This window comes from Homo sapiens, chromosome 6 (genome assembly GCF_000001405.40).
Source record: "Homo sapiens chromosome 6, GRCh38.p14 Primary Assembly".
NCBI lineage: Eukaryota > Metazoa > Chordata > Mammalia > Primates > Hominidae > Homo > Homo sapiens.
The window spans coordinates 115,467,144-115,487,725 of NC_000006.12; the positions used below are offsets into that span (position 1 = coordinate 115,467,144).

The following is a 20,582-nucleotide window of genomic DNA, read 5'->3' on the forward strand; positions in this document are numbered from 1 at the left end:
AGTTATATTACTCTCTTTGTTAAATTTACCTGATAGAATTCTGAATTCCTTCTCTTTGTTATCTTGAATTTCTTTGAGTTTCCTCCACACAGGTATATGGAATTCTCTGTTTGAAAGTTCATATATCTGTGTTTCTCTGGGATTGGCCCCTGGTGGCTTACTTAGTTCATTTGGTGAGGTCATGTTTTCCTAAATAATGTTGATGCTATTAGATGTTCTTTGGTGTTTGGCATTGAAGAGTTAGGTATTTATTGTAGTCGTCACTGTATGAGCTTATTTGTACCTATCATTCTTGGAAAGACTTTCTAGTTATTTGAGAGGACTTGGGTGTTGTTTTCTAAGCTGTTTTTGTGTTAGGGGGCACCTCAAGCCCAGTAATGCTGTGGTTCTTGCAGTCTCATAAAGTCATCACCTTAGTGGTCTTAGAAAAGATCTGGAAGACTTCTCTAGATTACCAGGAAAAGACACTTGTTCTATTCCCTTACTTTCTCCAAAATATACAGTCTCTGTCTCTCTTCTGAGCCACCTAAAGCTGGGAGTGGAGTGACACAAGTACCCCTGTGGCCACCACCACTACAACTGTGCTGGGTCAGACCTGAAACCTGCACAGCACTGGTTCTCACCCAAGGCCTGCTATAACCCTCCCTGGCTACTGCCTCTGATTGCTCAAGGCCCTGGGGCTCTATGATCTGCAGGTGGCAAAGTCAGCCAGGTCTGTGTCTTTCTTGTCAGGCCAGTAAGTTACCCCAGGCCCTGTGTGGATCCAGAAGTGCCATCCAGTAGTCAGAGACTAGAGTCAAAAACCTGAGTCATCTGCCTGGTATTCTATTGTATGGCAGCTCAGCAGGCTCTCAAGCCATAAGACACGATTCTTCCCACTCTTCCCTCCTCTTTCCAAAGGCGGAGGAGCCTTACCCTATAGCTGCCACCACCCCCAGCCACAAGGAGTACTGCTGGACTACCACCAATGTTCTTTCAAGGCCCAAGTTTTCTTAAGTCATCCTGTGATTAATGCTGCCTGGCTTGGGACTCAACCTTTAGAGCAGTGAGCTCCCCTGTGGCCCGTGGCAGGTCCAGAAATGCCATCCAAGAGTCAAGTCCTAGAATTGGAGACCCCAAGGGCCTGCTTGGTGCTCTACATTCCTGTAGCAGTGTTGGTACCTGAGGTATAAAACAAAGTCTCCTTTACTTTTCCTTCTGCTTTTCTCAAGCAGAAGGAATTTTGCACCATAGCCACCACAGCTGGTAATGTGCTGAGTCTCATCTGAAGTCAGCAAATCTCAGAGGCTCACCAAGGCCCTCGATGTGGTACCTGGGTGGCGTTGCTGGTTGCTCAGAAACCAAGAACTCTTCAGTTAGCAGGTGATGAATGCTGGCAGGACTGGCTCCTTTCCTTCAAGGCAGTGAGTTCCCTTCTGGCCCAGGGTGATTCTAGAAATGTTTTCTAGAAGCTAGGACCTGAAACATGGGCCTCACGACTCTGACCCATGCCCTATGCTGCTGTGGCTGAGTTGGTATCCAAAATGCAAAACAAAGTTCTCCCCACTCTTCCCTCTCCTTTCCTCAAGTAGAAGAAAGGGGTCTTTTCAAAACCTCAAGCTGCGCAGCCCGAGGTTATAGGAGGGGTGATGCCAGCACTCTCTTGACTGCCCCAGCTGGTGTCTCAGTATGTTGCATGCCCTCCCAATCCACTGTCTCTGGCCAAGCTCAGCCCTGGAACTTACCTAAAATTGCAGTCCTTATGTCCCAGACTGCCTTTCAAATTTATAAGAGCACTTTGGCCCTCAGTGGCGAGGTTTGTGGACACTTAAGTTCAGATGGCTGGGATTGGCAGCTCCCCTCTGGCTAGGGCTGATTTAAACACTTCCTTTCTGGGTGGACATCAGCTGAATTTTGTCTGTTTTCTCTTTCTGCTCTAACAGGATAGCACTGAGTTTAATGCCTCACAATTGTTGTGCTCTCCCTCCTCCAGCACCCAGAGAAAATGCTCTCTGAACTGCTGCTGCTGCTGGGGTGAGGGAGTGTTGATGTCAGTGATTCAAGACTGATTTTCTATCTCTTCAGTACCTCTTTCAATGATGTGAAGTTAAAACCAGGTACTGTGAGTGCTCACTTGATTTTTGGTTCTTATGAGGGTGTTTTTTCTTTGTAGATAGTTGTTAACTTAGTGTCCTTGCTGGGGGATGATCAGTGGAGCTTTCTATTCCGCCACCTTGTTCTACCTCCCTCGGCAATGCTATTTTTTTCTTCTGCTAACCAGACCAGATTTTATCCATATAGATCATAACCTTCCACCAATCAAGTTTTCTCAATTTCCGATTGATCACATGCATTTCAAAATTCTTATGACTTTTTATTTCTATTATACAACTTAGTACTCTATTACATATATCCTTATCTGTTTATTATTTTAACATCTTATGTCTTTTGTATCAAAAAAAATTTAAACTCCACCTTTTGATTCTAATGTATACTTAGGAGAACTTAAGAATATATAACTCAATTAAATAAATTTTCTTAGTGATTTGGTAATTCTTATCTGAAAGAACACAAAATACCTCTTGATGTTATTATAGATCAAAAAACAGAAGGAGTGTCTGTCGGTTTACCATTAACACACGTATAATAGCTAGAATGAAATTGTTCTGCATAGTTAAATATCCAAAATAACCAATATCTTGCTCAGATAAAGTAGTCAGAGCAAAAATATATTTATTCACTCACTTTTTAATGTACAATAGTTATCGAGAGTCAGGTGGCAATCACTGAGTTAGATGTTATATTATCACTATAGCCCAGCTTCTAATTCAAAGAGCTTATCTGGGAGTACAAACAAGTAAAGATATAATTTGAATACATGTGACTGAGGTAAGAACACTGGGTAGGACAGCATGTAAATAGTTGAGACTGACTCAGCCTTGGGGATTCAAGAAAGCTCCCTGGTGGAGGAACATATAATCATAGTTCCTAAAGAAAAAGATGTGGGGTATATATGTAGGTGAGTCCTACAGAATATAAGTAAGAAATCTAAATGGGAAAGAGATTATAGAAAATTTGAGATGTGTCTGTAATTCAACATGGTATATACACAGAATGACTGAGGATAGGAATGAGAATAATAAAAAAAGGAGATGAAATGAGAGGAAATAATCTCAGAGCCTACTGAACCTAACACTATAGGACAGGTAGATTTAGTATAATTTGGCAAGTATCTGCTATTGACCAAGAAACAACAGGATAAACAAATTATCTATTTCATCAATTCTAGAGTATGTTTAATATGCTCATGTCAATATATTCATATGTTTCATGTTTACAAGGCCATAATATCTTCTCTACTTGACATTTGCTCTGTTTGGTGTTTCTCAAATTTGAAAGTAATTTTTGTTAAAAAAAAAAATGTGCACAGTGGCAAGGCCAAACATTTTCTCCCACATGTATAGATACAACCTTATAAAAATATACGTAAGATTATAGGTACAAATACAGGGCTTATGCTTGTTTGATGTGATTTTTTTTCACTTTATATCTCAGATACATACTTATATGTCAGGACATATAGATCCATTTTGTTTTTTATTCAAATACATAAAATTTTATATTCTGTGTTTTTAATAATTTTTAAAATTCTTTTTGGCTTGACTTCATAACTAATTTCTACTCTCTTTCAATTCAAGAAATATATATGTCTATGTATGTATGACTAATTTTATTTAATGGATTAGATTCTGTGAGATTAAAAGATTTTTTATTTCTTTATATCATTTTTTAAGTAGTACCATATTAGTGTTTGAATTTTGCAGCAATTTTTAAATATAATATTCACAATGAATGTATATGTCATGTTTACTTCCTAAAGCATATATTTATGTATATAAATATATATGCAAAATCACATGAATAATAGTTTCTACTCTCAGAACATCAAACTGTATTAATATAATGTGTACCTGTGTGTGTGTTGTGTACATTTACCTTAGTGTCATTTTTCTTCAGTATATTGATTTTCTTGGGAATAGTGTGCTATAATAGTTTTTTAATATTTACTTCATAACTCTCAATCCCCTGTTGAGTGCATTGTGAAGGCTTAATCAATGCTAAAATCAAATATAATAAACTTGCAAAGTATTCAAATCAATGCTTCCTTTCCTTTTTGACTTTTGGGCTAATTATACCAGTAATTCTTATCTCTATGAACACCCTGAACTCAATGGTTCTGAGTGAGTAGTTTTGTTTCCCTTTTATCTTTGTAATTTCTAGATAATTTTCCTTTTGTCATTTTTTCCCGGTTTTTATTTTTTTAATATGGGTATAAAGTATTCATATTACTTTACTTTCAAAGCACTTTATTTTAATGAGGATACTATATAAAAAACTTAAAAAGCATGAGATTTTAATAAAACTCACGTCCTTCTATATCATTGCTATAGAAACTGACTCATTTTCATCAAGCAGAGTTAATTAAGACTTTTTTCATTGTTTTTTTCCCCCAGTTAGCCTCTTCTAATAATTATGCTTCCATTCTCTAAATTTAGGAAGTTGTTAAAAAACCCCAGTGTTAGAGAAAATTGTCATTGCAAAGGAAACATATTATCATTAGAAACATAAAATATTAATAGCTGTAATATAATAACAAATATTTGCATATCCTTTTTTTCATTGTGCAATGTGACAATCTACTATGTCAGTAGATTCAAATAACAACCTTTATAATAGAAAATCAAAGTCATTTTTCAGATGATAAAATTAAGAGTCACAGACATTGGTCTTCAAAATAGCTGCTTAGTAAGAGAGGCGACTAGGACATAGTATCCAAGTCCCCAGCATGTTTTTTCAAATAATTTCAAAATTCTCCAAACTCCTTGCCTATAATAGCTTTCTTTAACAGAAAATAGCCAAGAAAATCTCAGAAAAACTTTTATCATCTTTCTTAATGTATCTCTTTTTGTTTTGTTTTGTTTGTTGAGACAGAATTTCACTCTGTTGCCCAGGCTGGAGTGCGGTGGTGCCATCATGGTTCACTGCAGCCTCGAACCCCTGAGCTCAGGTGATCCACCCTTCTCAGCCTCCTGAGTAGTTGGGATACAGGCACGTGCCACCACGCCCAGATAATTTTTCTATACTTTTTCAGAGAGAGGGGTTCACTGTGGTTCCCAGGCTGGTCTCAAACTCCTAGGCTCAAGTGGTACATCCACCTCAGCCTCCCAAGTGATAGGATTACAGGCATGAGCCACCATGCCCTGCCATAATGTATCTCTTAACTTTGCAATCAATTATGACATCACAACACACATATATAAGAACAATCAATGTACATGTAAGATGAAAAATATATATTGAGCACTTCTGTATGACAGTCACTGGTCTAGCTGTCAGGAAATTTTTGACAACCTACTGGAGAAAATGCGTCCGTAAGAGAATAATTCTACATATGTTATAATACAATGTGGTACGGAATCTGACAGAGGTGCTCACCAAGTGATTTGAGAGAATAGAAGGGTCAATTAGTTTGACTTCAGAAGAATGAGCTTGTCTTGAAAGGTGGGAACAAGAACAAAAATGGCTTTAGAATCTGCATTCCACTGACTTTTAAAGATGAACAGGTAAATTCAAAAGTAAGATCTTTCCAAGTGATAAAAGAAAAATCATTTTCAATGCAGCACTCCATCACAGCTAATGTGACTGTATACTTTATCAGTTATTAATCAGCACCTGAGACAACAGGTATAAACTGGGGACAGTCCTGTACAAACCCAGATTTATGGGTGCCGTAGGTTCTCTCCAGAAAGAAAGACAATGAAGTAAAGATCTACAAATAACAGTATCATTACATTGCTTCTCTAAAGTCAGTCTCCTGCTCCATCCTATATATCTGACAATGCTGCCACACTCTCACACATCCAAGACAAAAAAGTGGGAATCGACCTAGACCCTCCCTATCTGATTCTTACCCCAGTTATGATATAAATCCTTTAAAATATATCTGCTAATTCTCTTCCCTCTCTTCATCACTGTGGCCACTACATAAACCATCCTTATCTCATGCCTAGACTTTTTAATTCCAGCTACTCAGGCTCCTTTCCTTCAGCTTGCACTTTATTCTACACAATGCTCCAGATTCTGTTACCTAAAATCCATAACTAGTCATGGCACTTCCTTGGACTTTATGTCCACTACAGGTATGTTGGCTAACAAAAAAGGCCTTTCTGGATTTGCCCTACGTATCAGTTTTTCTGGCCTTCTACATTGCTGCATGTTTCTCGTTTTTATTTTTTTATTTTTTTTTTTTTTTACATTATAGAGACTCAATAATATATCCCTAAACACAGCATACATTTCTTTCCACTTTTGCAATTTTCTATATGCTCCTCCCTCTGCCTGGAATTTCTCTCTTCCCTTGTCTTCACAGAGGTCCTCAAAATCCTATCAAAGGTCATTTAATTTCTCTTTTTTTCCCTTTCACACTCACAAACAAGAGTAAATTTCTTCCTGCTCTTTGATATGCTGGGTTTTTGTTTGTTTGTTTGTTATACATTGGGGCCTGTCAGGGGTGGGAGGAGGAGGAAGGGAGAGCATCAGGAAAAATAGCTAATGGATCCTGCCCTTAATACCTAGGTGATGGGATGGTCTGTGCGGCATACCACTATGGCACATGTAACAAACGTACATCCTACACACATACCCTTAAATTTAAAATAATAGTAAAAGAAAAAAAACAGTAATTTTAAAAGAGAAGTTTTATTCTTAATACTAGTAATCTTAAATGGCACAGGATTGGGGTGTAGGGAGGGGATGAGCAGTGCAGAGGAGACGAAGAAGCTGTTTTAATATGCAGTCATGCATTGCCTAATGATGGAAACACATTCTGAAAAATGCATCTTTAGGCAACTTTTGCTGTGTGCTAACATCATAGAGTGTACTTACATAAACCTAGATGGTATAGCCCACTTTACACCTAGGCTATATGGTTCAACCTATTGCTTTTAGGCTACAAACCTCTACAGCATGTTATTCTACTGAATACTGTAGGCAATTGTAACACAATAGTAAGTACTTGAGTATCTAAGAATAAGCATAGAAAAGGTACAGAAAAAAATACAATATTATAATCTTAAGAGGTCATCATCATATATGAGTTCCATTATTGAGCAAAACACCATTATGCCATCCATGACTGTAATTTGTGGCAACTTCATATCATAATTATTTCAAAATTGAAGGGAGACGGACACTGAATTAATTACCTGTTTCTTATTTGTTTAGAATTTTCTAAAAAGTCCTATCTGTTCCTTTCTTGTTCCCTTGTGTAGATTAATCGTGCAAAGTCTAGAATGTATTCTGAAACATTCAAAGGAAGTGGCCTAATATGTATATACATTATTATTATTTAACTCTTAAAAAACTGAAACTGATCCACAAACCAAAAAGTTAACTACCTCATGAAACTAACAGGTTTCAATCTGCTTACACACCTTATGGAAAATTCTACAATATTTCACTTGAAACCAGAAGAAGACTAATAGTGCCACAGCTAAGGCTGAGGAGTCTAAGGCTTTTTTTTTTTTTTTTTTTTTTTTTTGCCAAACCTAGAAACTCACTTCCTAGAAAAACACCTTCCATTTATAATGCAAATGTGTTGGTGGCAAGCACTCTCTCAGAATGGTTATGAAAGCCAAATTTATCATCCTCACCTAATAGCAGAAACACAAGAGAGCACCGGTATCATCTCTGACCTTGGAGAAAAACGTTTACTATGAAAATAAAAGGCAGGAAGTCACCTTAACCTGTCCACTAGAAACACTAAAAATCATGTGTTCTGTTCTTTAACAAAAATAGATCAAAATCACCAAACTGTATATCTACAGCAAACTTTATTTTTTTATTTTTCAAGCTTTTTTAATTTTATTATACTTTAAGTTCTAGGGTACATGTGCACAACGTGCAGGTTTGTTACATAGGTATACATGTGTCATGTTGGTTTGCTGCACCCATCAACTCGTCATTTACATTAGGTATTTCTCCTAATGTTATCCCTCCCCTAGTTCCCCAACCCCCCGACAGGCCTCAGTGTGTGATGTTCCCTGCCCTGTGTCCAAGGTTTCTCATTGTAAAATTCACACCTATGAGTGAGAACACATGGTGTTTGGTTTTCTGTCCTTGTGATAGTTTGCTAAGAATGATGGTTTCCAGCTTCATCCATGTCCCTGCAAAGGACATGAATTCATCCTTTTATGGCTGCATAGAATTCCATGGTGTATACATGCCATATTTTCTTAATCCAGTCTATCATTGACGGACATTAGGGTTGGTCTTTGCTATTGTGAATAGTGCCGCAGTAAACATATGTGTGCATGTGTCTTTACAGTAGCATGATTTATAATCCTTTGGGTATATACCCAGTAATGAGATTGCTGGATCTAATGGGATTTCTAGTTCTAGATCCTTGAGGAATCGCCACACTGTCTTCCACAATGGTTGAATTAATTTACACTCCCACCAACAGTGTAAAAGCGTTCCTATTTCTCCACATCCTCTCCAGCATCTGTTGTTTGCTGACTTTTTAATGATCGCCATTCTAACTGGTGTGAGATGGTATCTCATTGTGATTTTGATTTGCATTTTTCTGATGATCAGTGATGATGAGGATTTTTTCGTGTGTCTGTTGGCTGCATAAATGTCTTCTTTTGAGAAGTGTCTGTTCATAACCTTTTCCCACTTTTTGATGGGGGTGTTTTATTCTTGTAAATTTAAATTCTTTGTAGATTCTGGATATTAGCCCTTTGTCACATGGGTAGATTGCAAAAATTTTCTCCCATTCTGTAGGTTGCCTGTTCAGTCTGATGGTAATTTCTTTTGCCGTACAGAAGCTCTTTAGTTTAATTAGATCCCATTTATCTATTTTGGCTTTTGTTGCCATTGCTTTTGGTGTTTTAGTCATGAAGTCTTTGCCCATGCCTATGTCCTGAATGGTATTGCCTAGTTTTTCTTCTAGGGTTTTTATGGTTTTAGGTCTAACATTTAAGTCTTTAATCCATCTTGAATTAATTTTTGTATAAGATGTAAGGGAGGGATCCAGTTTCAGCTTTCTACATATGGCTAGCCAGTTTTCCCAGCACCATTTATTATATAGGGAATCCTTTCTTCATGTCTTGTTTTTGTCAGATTTGTCAAAGATCAGATGGTTGTAGATGTGTGGTGTTATTTCTGAGGCCTCTGTTCTGTTCCATTGGTCTATATACCTGTTCTGGTACCAGTACCATGCTGTTTTGGTTACTGTGGCCATGTAGTATAGTTTGAAGTCAGGTAGCATGATGCCTTCGGCTTTGTTTTTGTTTTGTTTGTTTGTTTTTGTTTTTTGTTTAGGATTGTCTTGGCAATGCGGGCTCTTTTTTGGTTCCACATGAACTTTAAATTAGTTTTTTTCCAATTCTGTGAAGAAAATCATTGGTAGCTTGATGGGGATAGCATTAAATCTATAAATTATCTTGAGCCATTTTCATGATATTGATTCTTCCTATCCATGAGCATGGAATGTTCTTCCATTTTTTTTGTGTCCTCTTTTACTTCGTTGAGCAGTGGTTTGTAGTTCTCCTTGAAGAGGTCCTTCACATCCCTTGTAAGTTGGATTCCTAGGTATTTTATTCTCTTTGTAGCAATTGTGAATGGAAGTTCACTCATGATTTGGCTGTCTGTTTGTCTGTTATTGGTATATAGGAATGCTTGTAATTTTTGCACATTGATTTTGTATCCTGAGACTTTGCTGAAGTTGTTTATCAGCTTAAGGAGATTTTTGGCTGAGACGATGGGGTGTTCTAAATATACAATCATGTCATCTGCAAACAGAGAAAATTTGACTTCCTCTTTTCCTAATTGAATACCCTTTATTTCTTTCTCTTGCCTGATTGCCCTGGCCAGAACTTCCAACACTGTGTTGAATAGGAGTGGTGAGAGACGACATCCTTTTGTTGTGCCGGTTTTCAAAGGGAATTGTTCCAGCTTTTGCCCATTTAATATGATTTGGCTGTGTGTTTGTCATAAATGGCTCTTATTATTTTAAGATACATTCCATCAATACCTAGTTTATTGAGAGTTTTTAGCATGAAGGGCTGTTGAATTTTGTTGAAGGCCTTTTCTGCGTCTATTGAGATAATCATGTGGTTTTTCTCGCTGGTCCTGTTTATGTGATGGATTACGTTTATTGATTTGCATATGTTGAACCAGCCTTGCATCCCAGGGATGAAGCAGACTTGATCGTGGTGGATACACTTTTTGATGTGCTGCTGGATTTTGTTTGCCAGTATTTTATTGAGGAGTTTTGCATCGATGTCCATCAGGGATATTGGTCTAAAATGCTCTTTTTTTTTGTTGTGTCTCTGCCAGGTTTTGGTATCAGGATGATGCTTGCCTCATAAAATGAGTTAGGGAAGATTCTCTCTTTTTCCATTGATTTGAATAGTTTCAGAAGGAATGGTATCAGCTCCTCTTTGTACCTCTGGTAGATTTCAGCTGTGAATCCATCTGGTCCTGGATGCTTTTTGGTTGGTAGGCTATTAATTATTGCCTCAATTTCAGAGCCTGTTATTGGTCTATTCGGAGATTCAACTTCTTCCTGGTTTAGTCTTGGGAGGGTGTAAGTGTAAAGGAATTTATCCATTTCTTCTAGATTTTCTAGTTTATTTGCATAGAGGTGTTTGTAGTATTCTCTGATGGTAGTTTGTATTTCTGTGGGATTGGTGCTGATATCCCCTTTGTCATTTTTTACTGCGTCTATTTGATTCTTCTTTCTTTTCTTCTGTGTTAGTCTTGTTAGCAGTCTATCAATTGTGTTGATCTTTTCAAAAAACCAGCTCCTAGATTAATTGATTTTTGGAAGGGTTTTTTGTGTCTCTATCTCTTTCAGTTCTGCTCTGATCTTTGTTATTTTCTGCCTTCTGCTAGCTTTTGAATTTGTTTGCTCTTGCTTCTCTAGTTCTTTTAGTTGTGATGTTAGGACATTGATTTCAGATCTTTCCTGCTTTCTCTTGTGGGCATTTAGTGCTATAAGTTTCCTTCTACACACTGCTTTAAATGTCCCAGAGATTCTGGTACATTGTGTCTTCGTTCTCATTGGTTTCAAAGAACTTATTTATTTCTGCCTTCATTTCGTTATTTACCCAGTAGTCATTCAGAAGCAGGTTGTTCAGTTTCGATGTAGTTGTGCAGTTTTGAGTGAGTTTCTTAATCCTGAGTTCTAATTTGATTGTACTGTGGTATGAGAGACAGTTTGTTGTGATTTTTGTTCTTTTTCATTTGCTGAGGAGTGCTTTACTTTCAATTATGTGGTCAATTTTAGAATAAGTGCTATGTGGTGCTGAGAAGAATGTATATTCTGTTGATTTGGGGTGGAGGGTTCTGTAGATGTCTATTAAGTTCATTTGGCCCAGAGCTGAGTTCAAGTCCCGGATATCTTTGTTAACCTTCTGTCTCATTGACCACTGTCTAATATTGACAGTGGGGTGTTAAAATCTTCCAATATTATTGTGTGGGAGTCTAAGTCTCTTTGTAGGTCTCTAAGGACTTGCATTATTAATCTGGGTGCTCTTGTATTGGGTACATATATATTTAGCATAGTTAGCTTTTCTTGTTGAATTGATCCTTTTACCATTATGTAATGGCCTTCTTTGTCTCTTTGATCTTTGTTGGTTTAAAGTCTGTTTTATCAGAGACTAGGATTGTAACCCCTGCTTTTTTTTTTTTTTGCTTTCCATTTGTTTGTTAGATCTTCTTCCATCCCTTTATTTTGAGCCTATGTGTGTCTCTGCACATGAGATGGGTCTCCTGAATACAGCACACTGATGGGTCTTGACTCTTTATCCAATTTGCCAGTCTGTGTCTTTTAATTGGGGCATTTAGCCTATTTACATTTAAGGTTAATATTGTTGCATGTGAATTTGATCCATCATTATGATGTTAGCTGGTTATTTTCCCTGCTAATTGATGCAGTTTCTTCATAGCATCAATGGTCTTTACAATTTGGCATGTTTTTGCAGTGGCTGGTATGGTTTGTTCCTTTCCATGTTTAGTGCTTCCTTCAGGAACTCTTGTAAGGCAGGCCTAGTGGTGACAAAATCTCTCAGCATTTGCTTGTCTGTAAAGGTTTTTATTTCTCCTTCACTTATGAAGCTTAGTTTGGCTGAATATGAAATTCTGGGTTGAAAATTCTTTTCTTTAAGAATGTTGAATATTGGACTTCACTCTCTTCTGGCTTGTAGAGTTTCTGCTGAGAGAGAGATCTGCTGTTAGTCTGATGGGCTTCCCTTTGTGGGTAACCTGACCTTTCTCTTTGGCTATTCTTAACATTTTTTCTTTCATTTCAACCTTGGTGAAACTGAAAATTATGTGTCTTGGGGTTGCTCTTCTCAAGGAGTATCTTTACGGTGTTCTCTGTATTTCCTGAATTTGCTGAATTTGAATGTTGGCCTGCCTTGCTAGGTTGGGGAAATTCTCCTGGATAATATCCTGAAGAGTATTTTCCAACTTGATTCCATTCTCCCCGTCACTTTGAGATACACCAATCAAACGTAGATATGGTCTTTTCACATAGTCCCATATTCCTTGGAGGCTTTGTTCATTTCTTGCTAAGCTTTTTTTTCTAAACTTGTCTTCTCACTTTATTTCAATAATTCGATCTTCAATCACTGATATCCTTTCTTCAACTTGATTGAATTGGCTATCGAAGCTTGTGCATGAGTCACAAAGTTCTTGTGCCATGGTTTTTCAGCTCCATCAGGTCATTTAAGGTCTTCTCTACACTGTTTATTCTAGTTAGCCATTTGTCTAACCTTTTTTCAAGGTTTTTAACTTCCTTGCGATGGGTTAGAACATGCCTCTTTAGCTTGGAGAAGTTTGTTATTACTGACCTTCTGAAGCCTACTTCTGTCAACTCATCAAAGTCATTCTCCATCCAGCTTTGTTCTGTTGCTGGCGAGGAGCTGTGATCCTTTGGAGGAGAAGAGGCTCTCTGGTTTTTAGAATTTTCAGCTTTTCTGCTGTGGTTTCTCCCCATCTTTGTAGTTTTATCTACCTTTGGTCTTTGATGTTGGTGACCTACAGATGGGGTTTTGTTGTGGATGTCCTTTTTGTTTATGCTGATATTATTCCTTTCTGCTTGTTAGTTTTCCTTCTAACAGTCAGGTCCCTCAGCTGCAGGTCTGTTGGAATTTGCTGGAGGTCCACTCCAGACCCTGTTTTCCTGGGTATCACCAGCAGAGGCTGCAGAACAGCAAATATTACAGAACAGCAAATATTGCTGCCTGATCCTTCTCTGGAAGCTTTGTCCCAGAGGCACCTGCCTGTAAGAGGTGTCTGTCAGCCCCTGCTGGGAGGTGTCTCCCAGTTAGGCTACCCAAGGTCAGGGATCCGCTTGAGGAGGCAGTCTGTCTGTTCTCAGAGCTCAAATGCCATGCTGGGAGAACCACTGCTCTCTTCAGAGCTGTCAGAGAGGGACGTTTAAATCTGCAGAAGTTTCTGCTGCCTTTTCTTCACCTATGCCCTGCCCACAGAGGTGGAGTCTATAGAGGCAGTAGGCCTTGCTGAGCTGCGGTGGGCTCCACCCAGTCTGAGCTTCCTGGCAGCTTTCTTTACTTACTCAAGCCTCAGCAATGGCGGACACCTCTCCCCCCACCAGTATGCAGCCTTGCAGGTCAATCTCAGACTGCTGTGCCAGCAATGAGCAAGGCTCTGTGGGCATGGGACCTGCCAAGCCAGGCATAGGAGAGGATCTCCTGGTCCACCAGTTGCTAAGACCATAGGAAAAGTGCAGAATTTGGGTGAGAGTGTCCCATTTTACCAGGTACAGTCTGTCACTGCTTAACTTGGCTAGGAAAGGGAAATCCCCTGACCCCTTGTGCTTCTTGGGTGAGGCAACACCCAACCCTGCTTCAGCTTGCCCTCCATGGGCTGCACCCACTGTCAATCAGTCCCAATGAGATGAACCATGTACCTCAGTTGGAAATGCAGAAATCACCTGTTTTCTGCGTCAATCACGCTAGGAGCTGCAGACCAGAGCTTTTCTTATTCGGCCATCTTGGAACCCAGCTCTCTACAGCAAACTTTAAATGAAGTAATGAAAATTTAATTTACATTGAATTACATCCCATAGAATATTATTTGGAAGTTAAAGAATAGAGTTACAAGATTTTCCTTTGACTGTGAAACTATCTAGTAGGCCAAAATGAAATATATTCAAAACAATATTTGGAGGAAGGCAGCCTCAATTTTTTGTTAAAGTATTTTGATATTTGGTCATATAAAATTTGGGGGGTCATAAACTTTCTGAAACAGTTATTTCTTTCTTTCTTCTTCCTTTGTTTCTTTTTTAAAAGAAAAAAATACAGGGCATTTTATAGTTCTCTCCCTTTAGTCCTGGATTATTTTCAATAGCCAAAAACTGAAGAAAAGAAAAAAAAGTTTGTCAGCTGGTGAACAGGTATACTAATTGTGGTACATCCATCCATGCAAAGGAATACTACTTAGCAATATAATGAATGAATTACTGATAATATGCAACAACATGAGTGAAGCTCAGGAGAGCATATAGGATAGAAAAAAATACATTTGGGCTGGGTGCGGTGGCTCATGCCTGTAATCCCAACACTTTGGGAGGCCGAGGCGGGTCGATCAAGAGGTAAGGAGATTGAGACCATCCTGGCTAACATGGTGAAACCCCGACTCTACTAAAAATACAAAAAATTATCCAGGTGTGGTGATGGGCGCGCCTGTAGTCCCAATTACTCGGGGGGCTGAGACAGGAGAATGGTTTGAACCCGGGAGGTGGAGCTTGCAGTGAGCTGAGATCATGCCACTGCACTCCAGCCTGGGTGACAAAGCAAGACTACATCTCAAAAAAAAAAAATACATTTGAAGAAATAGTGGATTCCAAATGTAGTGAGAAACTTCACATACAGTTCCAAGAAGTCCAGTTTATCTCAAGCAGAATACTATGAAATAAACCATACTAAAGCACATCACAGACAAATTGCTTAATATGAAGGTAAAGAAAAAACCTTAAAAGTATGCAGATTAAAATGACACATTGTATGCAAGGTTACCATGTACAAGACCAGAGATAAAATGTAAAGAAACTTCTCATCATAAACAATGTAGATATAAAGACAATGGTTTAATAACATTAAAAAGCATTAACGGAAGAAAAAAACATTTTCACCAACATTTTTTATCTAGCAAAATTATCCGTCAAAAGTGAATTTGTTATATTTTTTAAAAACTGATAGAATTTATTTAGCAGACCTTCAATACAAGAAATGCTAAAGGAAGTTTTTCAGGCGACAGGGCATAATTCCAAATAGAAACTCAGATCTACGGGAAGGAATGAAATTGCCAGAAATAGTGTGTGTATAAATATTAAAGACTGTGAATAACTATAAACTGTTTAACAAAGTAAGCAAGAAGCAACAAATCTATCCAAGACCATCTACAGTGGTTCTAATATTCATATATTTTGCAGAGTGTGTTTTTCTTTAGCCCAATACATTCACTTATATATAAACCTTAAAACTCAATAAGCCTTTACCAGTCTCTTTAAATTATCTAATTCCACTAACTTTCTTGAGTGAATAGTGAAAGATGAAAATAGTCATTTCATTTTAATTTACTACATATTTAATTATTACTACTATTATTATTATATCCAGAATTTCCTAGGAAATTATTAAAAAATAATTTTGTTTTCATTAGCTTTTTAGGATAATCTATGCATCTAAGACAATGGTATTAAAAAATCTTACATTTTATTTATGAAATTTTCATGGGAATTGAAAATCTCTAAAACAAATATTTCAATATCAGTACTCATTCTACTGTAAATCAAATATAGAAAGTATACAAAGAGCTATTCAGATATGTAAAATATACAGTTAATAGGTTACATAATTTATCATATATCATTGTATAATTATCGTATATTTTCTTTAGTCAGAAAATTTCTGTATATATTACGGACTCATTTCTGAAGACAAATTTAGCCTAAAGAGACTGACTAGCCCCTAAGCTCACTTTAACAAAAATAAAGATTGCCACCTGAATGTGTCTTATTGCGAAGGATCGGCCTAAGTTTTAACACCAAGCACCCAGTGGAATTTTATTTAGACTAAAAGAAATAATTTTTGGCTGGGCACGGTGGCTCATGCCTGTAGTCCCAGCACTTTGGGAGGCCGAGGTGGGTGGATCATGAGGTCAGGAGTTCAAGACTAGCCTGGCCAACATGGTGAAACCCCATCTCTTCTAAAAATACAAAAATTAGCTGTGTGTGGTGGTGGGCACCTGTAATCCCAGCTGCTCGGGAGGCTGAGGCAGGAGAATCGCTTGAGCCCAGGAGGTGGAGGTTGCAGTGAGCCAAGATCGCACCATTGCACTCCAGCCTGGGTGACAGAGCAAGACTCCATCTCAAAAAAAAAAAAAAGAAAAAAGAAATCATTTTTTTTCTCTACTATCATTCAAACTACTCCTCTTCCCCATGTCTCTTTTGAAAATGTTCAAAGTTTTGTGAATTTTTTTCTACATAAACATGATGATATTAACAGTAATTTTTACAATCCAATTGTTCCTAAGTGTATTAAAATTTAATGTAGTTTGGCAATGGCAATTCCAGAAAAAGTATAATCTGCATAAAACATGAGGCAGCATGAAGCAGAGTTATTCAGAGGACATTCAGGCTTCCACTGTCAATGTTCACAATTCAATTCTATGCCATGAAAACATGCACACACATACTTACAAAAATATGCTAGTTTACAGTTCAGAGTTAAGGACAGTTTCATTGTCTCAGTGGTGGATCAGACACATCTTTCTTCTCTCTAGGTGCTTCCAACTGTTCAGATCTCAGATACAGAGGGATATATCATTATAGAGCTTGCCAAATCTGACACTCCTTATTCATGGGCAGGTCAGAATTGTCATGAATCTCAAAACGTAACATCTTATTTATATGTTTTATATAGAGGTATCATAACGTTAAAATAATTTTTATATTATTAAATGTGGGTCGAATGAATTTAGCCATAACACACACCTACAGGGAATTTGTAATATGCTATATTAACATTATTATGATCAGCCATCAACTTCCACTTATTTTATTCTCAGCAATTTAGATGTGAAACAGATGATGCTAACTTTAGGGAATTCAACTTTTATTTTAGGATCTAGAATGTGAAAAAACAAAAAGGAGTGAAAGGTAGGAGTGGACAAGTCAATTCTTGGCAATAAGAAACCTTTTAAATCCTGCTAGGGTCCAATGAATCACACAATTACATACATAGAACAGGATAGCTAAATGAATGAATTTATCCACATGCCTATAGCACCAGAACAACTAGGAATTACTTGTTTCTCCCCTCTGAGATTAAGAGTAAGAAACACAAAATCAAACTCTCACTAAGTATGCTCAGCTATTTTATTTATCTGTTGTTGTTTGATTGTTAGTTGGTTGGAAAGTTTATTGGGTTGGTGTTTATTACTTTCTTTTTAAATAAAACTATTATCCATACTGGAAATCAGTCACTTTCACAAATGTGATTCACTTTCTTACCATATAGGTTACTTATGTATATCATAAACCTAATTCTTAGCTATTAGTGAATGAAATGAGTCATGAGCAAAGGCTGACTTACATCTTTTATTTTATTCCCACCGATTAATTTCCCAAATTCAGAAATATATAGATAAGAAAAAAAATCAAAGCAGTATAATCTGTTTGGTTCACCTAACTCACTCAACCCTATGCTAGAGCCAAGCCTCACTACCTTGTTCAGGAGTTAACTAGCACAGAAAACAGGCAGTAGTCATTTTTATGCACTAAAAACCTCAGTAGAACTCCTTGCAGAGATATCCAACATTTTGGATTCATTATTCAGTTGAGATGGCAATTAATTGAAACTCTCTTATTTTCCAAATTTGCCATAAACTAGTGAACACCTGGATCAAAGCGAATTATTGTTCTTCTCTTATCTTCCGCTGCTTTATCATGGTTACCTGGAGCCAGGCTGGAGGGAGAGATTCATACTTGCCTAAATGGTAAGAGAGCACTTAGGAAGTTTAACCCAAACCTGTATTTCTAGAAAATGTACTACTATTATCTGCAGAGAAATAGATCCTTGCAATATAAAGCTGATAGTTACAATTTGCATAAGAAAATATTGTAATGTCAAAATGGAGTTTCAGCTTGGAATGAAAAAAGATACCACTGGGGCATGACAGTAATGATCATTTATTTTACAAGTCTCAAGAGGACCTCCCTGGTGAGAACCCATGCTGATATTCTGTATCAGCTTACCTTGTACAAGTGGATATTAACTGCACACAAAGCGGAAGCCAATTTTATTGTAAATTTTTTCATTGCTAAGATTGACTCACAAGAGGCTCATTTTCTGTGCGTCCCAAAGGACGGCAGTCATGCAGCGTTGTTTAAGCAAACTCATTACTGTTCAAGCAATGCCACATAAACCTTCCATCTAAAACAACAAATTATATAGTATAAACATGCTTCTTTAAACAAACACTCTAAAGCCAGGGGAAGCTATAGCTACAGCAGGAATCTAGACATTTCTTATTAAGACAATAAACATAGGTATCAAAACAGACTTTTTTTGGTCTATATATTTTTTAGTGGATACTATGTGATAAGTGATTTATGTTTATAATCTCATAATTGGTACCCAGACAGAATTGTCACATGAACTGAGTCTCTCTGACTCTAAGTTCTGGACTCTTGTTCAAGTGTACTGCAGTCTCTAGCTCTATGAGTTTTTAGTCCAATATTAAGAATTTTTGGACTGCTGTTTCCATATTATCTAGAATTTAGCCCCATCCCAAATTTAGAATTCTTCTTGCTTCTACTTACTGGAAATTTGGAAAGCATGAAAGTTTAGTAACAATTCATGTTGGTGGTTTTAGGAACATATTATTCCCTGGCCAACCTAATGATGATGTCTGATGTCTGGACCCGACCAACTTGGAACTATCAAAAGGCCAAATTCTGTTGTCTCAACCAAGAAAACCTATGCTTTTGCGTCTTTCCAAGAGTGAACCTGTACCATACTTTATGCCCTTAGGCTCTGAACTCAGGTTACCTGGGTTAGAAACTTGTCTCCATCATTTACTAGCTGTGTAAGTTCCAGCAAGTTATAAACTTCAGCTCCATATCTGTAAAATGGTGACTGTCATAGTAAAGTTGCATTGATGGAGTTAAGCAAAGAAGACTTTATTCAAGACTATTGAAATAGAAGAAATAATTTAAGGTTAATTCTTCTGAAACAGGTAGGGGTTTTTTAAGCCTTGAGGTGAGCAGGTGGAAAAGTACTGGAGGAAACTGGGGAGGTTGGTTAATGTGATAAGGCCATCTGAGTTTATTAATTGGCACATGAAAATTAGGTACCCACCATCCCACAGAGACTAGGAGATAGAGGCAATATCTCCTTCCCTGATTACATTTCAAAAGATTAGCTCCCACATCCTGGAGAAAGACATTCTCAGGTTATAAAACTGGCAGGAGGCTAGCAGAAGATTTATATCTGAAAGAGGCAGAAAATGATTCTACAATTTAAAGTTTTAAATGCTCAAAAAAAAAGGGACATTAGGGGCTTAGAGTCAGAAAGAAGCCTGTCTACAGTTTTGTCAAGCTGAGGGGAAAGTTAAAGCTGTCTTGATCAGGAGATAATAATCATAGCTTCCATGGTTGCTGGGAGGATGGAGACTGATAATGCCTACTGACCTGTATCACCACTGTGGTTGGTATAGGGTGAGTACTCAACATGTAGTAGTAGGTATTACCTTTATCCCCATATTAATCTCTGTTTTCTAACAACTGATTACTGCTCCTACTCCTCCCCTTGCTAGCAATCACACAGTTTGGACATTTCATTGCACCGTGTATCCTCATCATCTGCACAGGTCAATTTTACAGCATTCTCTCTGGCTCTCTCTTGAAACCATCTAGGCCAGAGGTTTTTAAACAGTCTCAGTTCATGGTGCCTTTAATGTCTCAATATTTTTTCACACCAAATCTAAAAGAAAAGAAGTACTTAACAATTCTATTTATGAATCAATTAGGTCCAAACAACTTAATAAATGGATTGGTCCTAACAATTTAGTAGCTGTTTGAAAAAATAATGGAAATAAATCTAAAAGATAGCATTTTTATTCAGTCTTAACCACAGTTACTTGCTAATGGAATGTGTGCCTGTGCTACTCTGTGCAGCTTCTCAAACCTTGGAGTCATGGTGTACAAGTCTACCTTTATTTGTTATTCTGCATTGATTTTTAGTAATATTTGATTTTTATCACAACCACTGAAAACACAAAAATATGACATCATTGAAAGGAATGGATCACAATCTAAGGTTAAATGTGTGAACTATCTCAAGCTAATAGTTTATTCTGTGCCCTACATATATCGCTGTGTTTCCCTCAAACATTGAAAATACTGTACAGGATCTTGTGAGTCCTTGATGGTACCCCAGGGCACGTGAGCAGTTAGTTTGGGAAATGCCAAACAGGCATGCCAAAGGTACCAGAGTAACCTTTAA

At 37.4% G+C, this 20,582-nt stretch overlaps 1 long non-coding RNA gene across 1 annotated transcript; it reads left to right on the forward strand.

The window, feature by feature from the left end:
- Window positions 1-5,364: 5,364 nt before the first annotated feature.
- Window positions 5,365-19,103, forward strand: LOC105377961 (uncharacterized). Its single transcript, XR_942906.3, has 3 exons — window positions 5,365-5,603; window positions 17,967-18,072; window positions 18,952-19,103. It is a non-coding gene; the product is annotated as an uncharacterized LOC105377961 (long non-coding RNA).
- The last annotated feature ends 1,479 nt before the right edge of the window (window positions 19,104-20,582 follow it).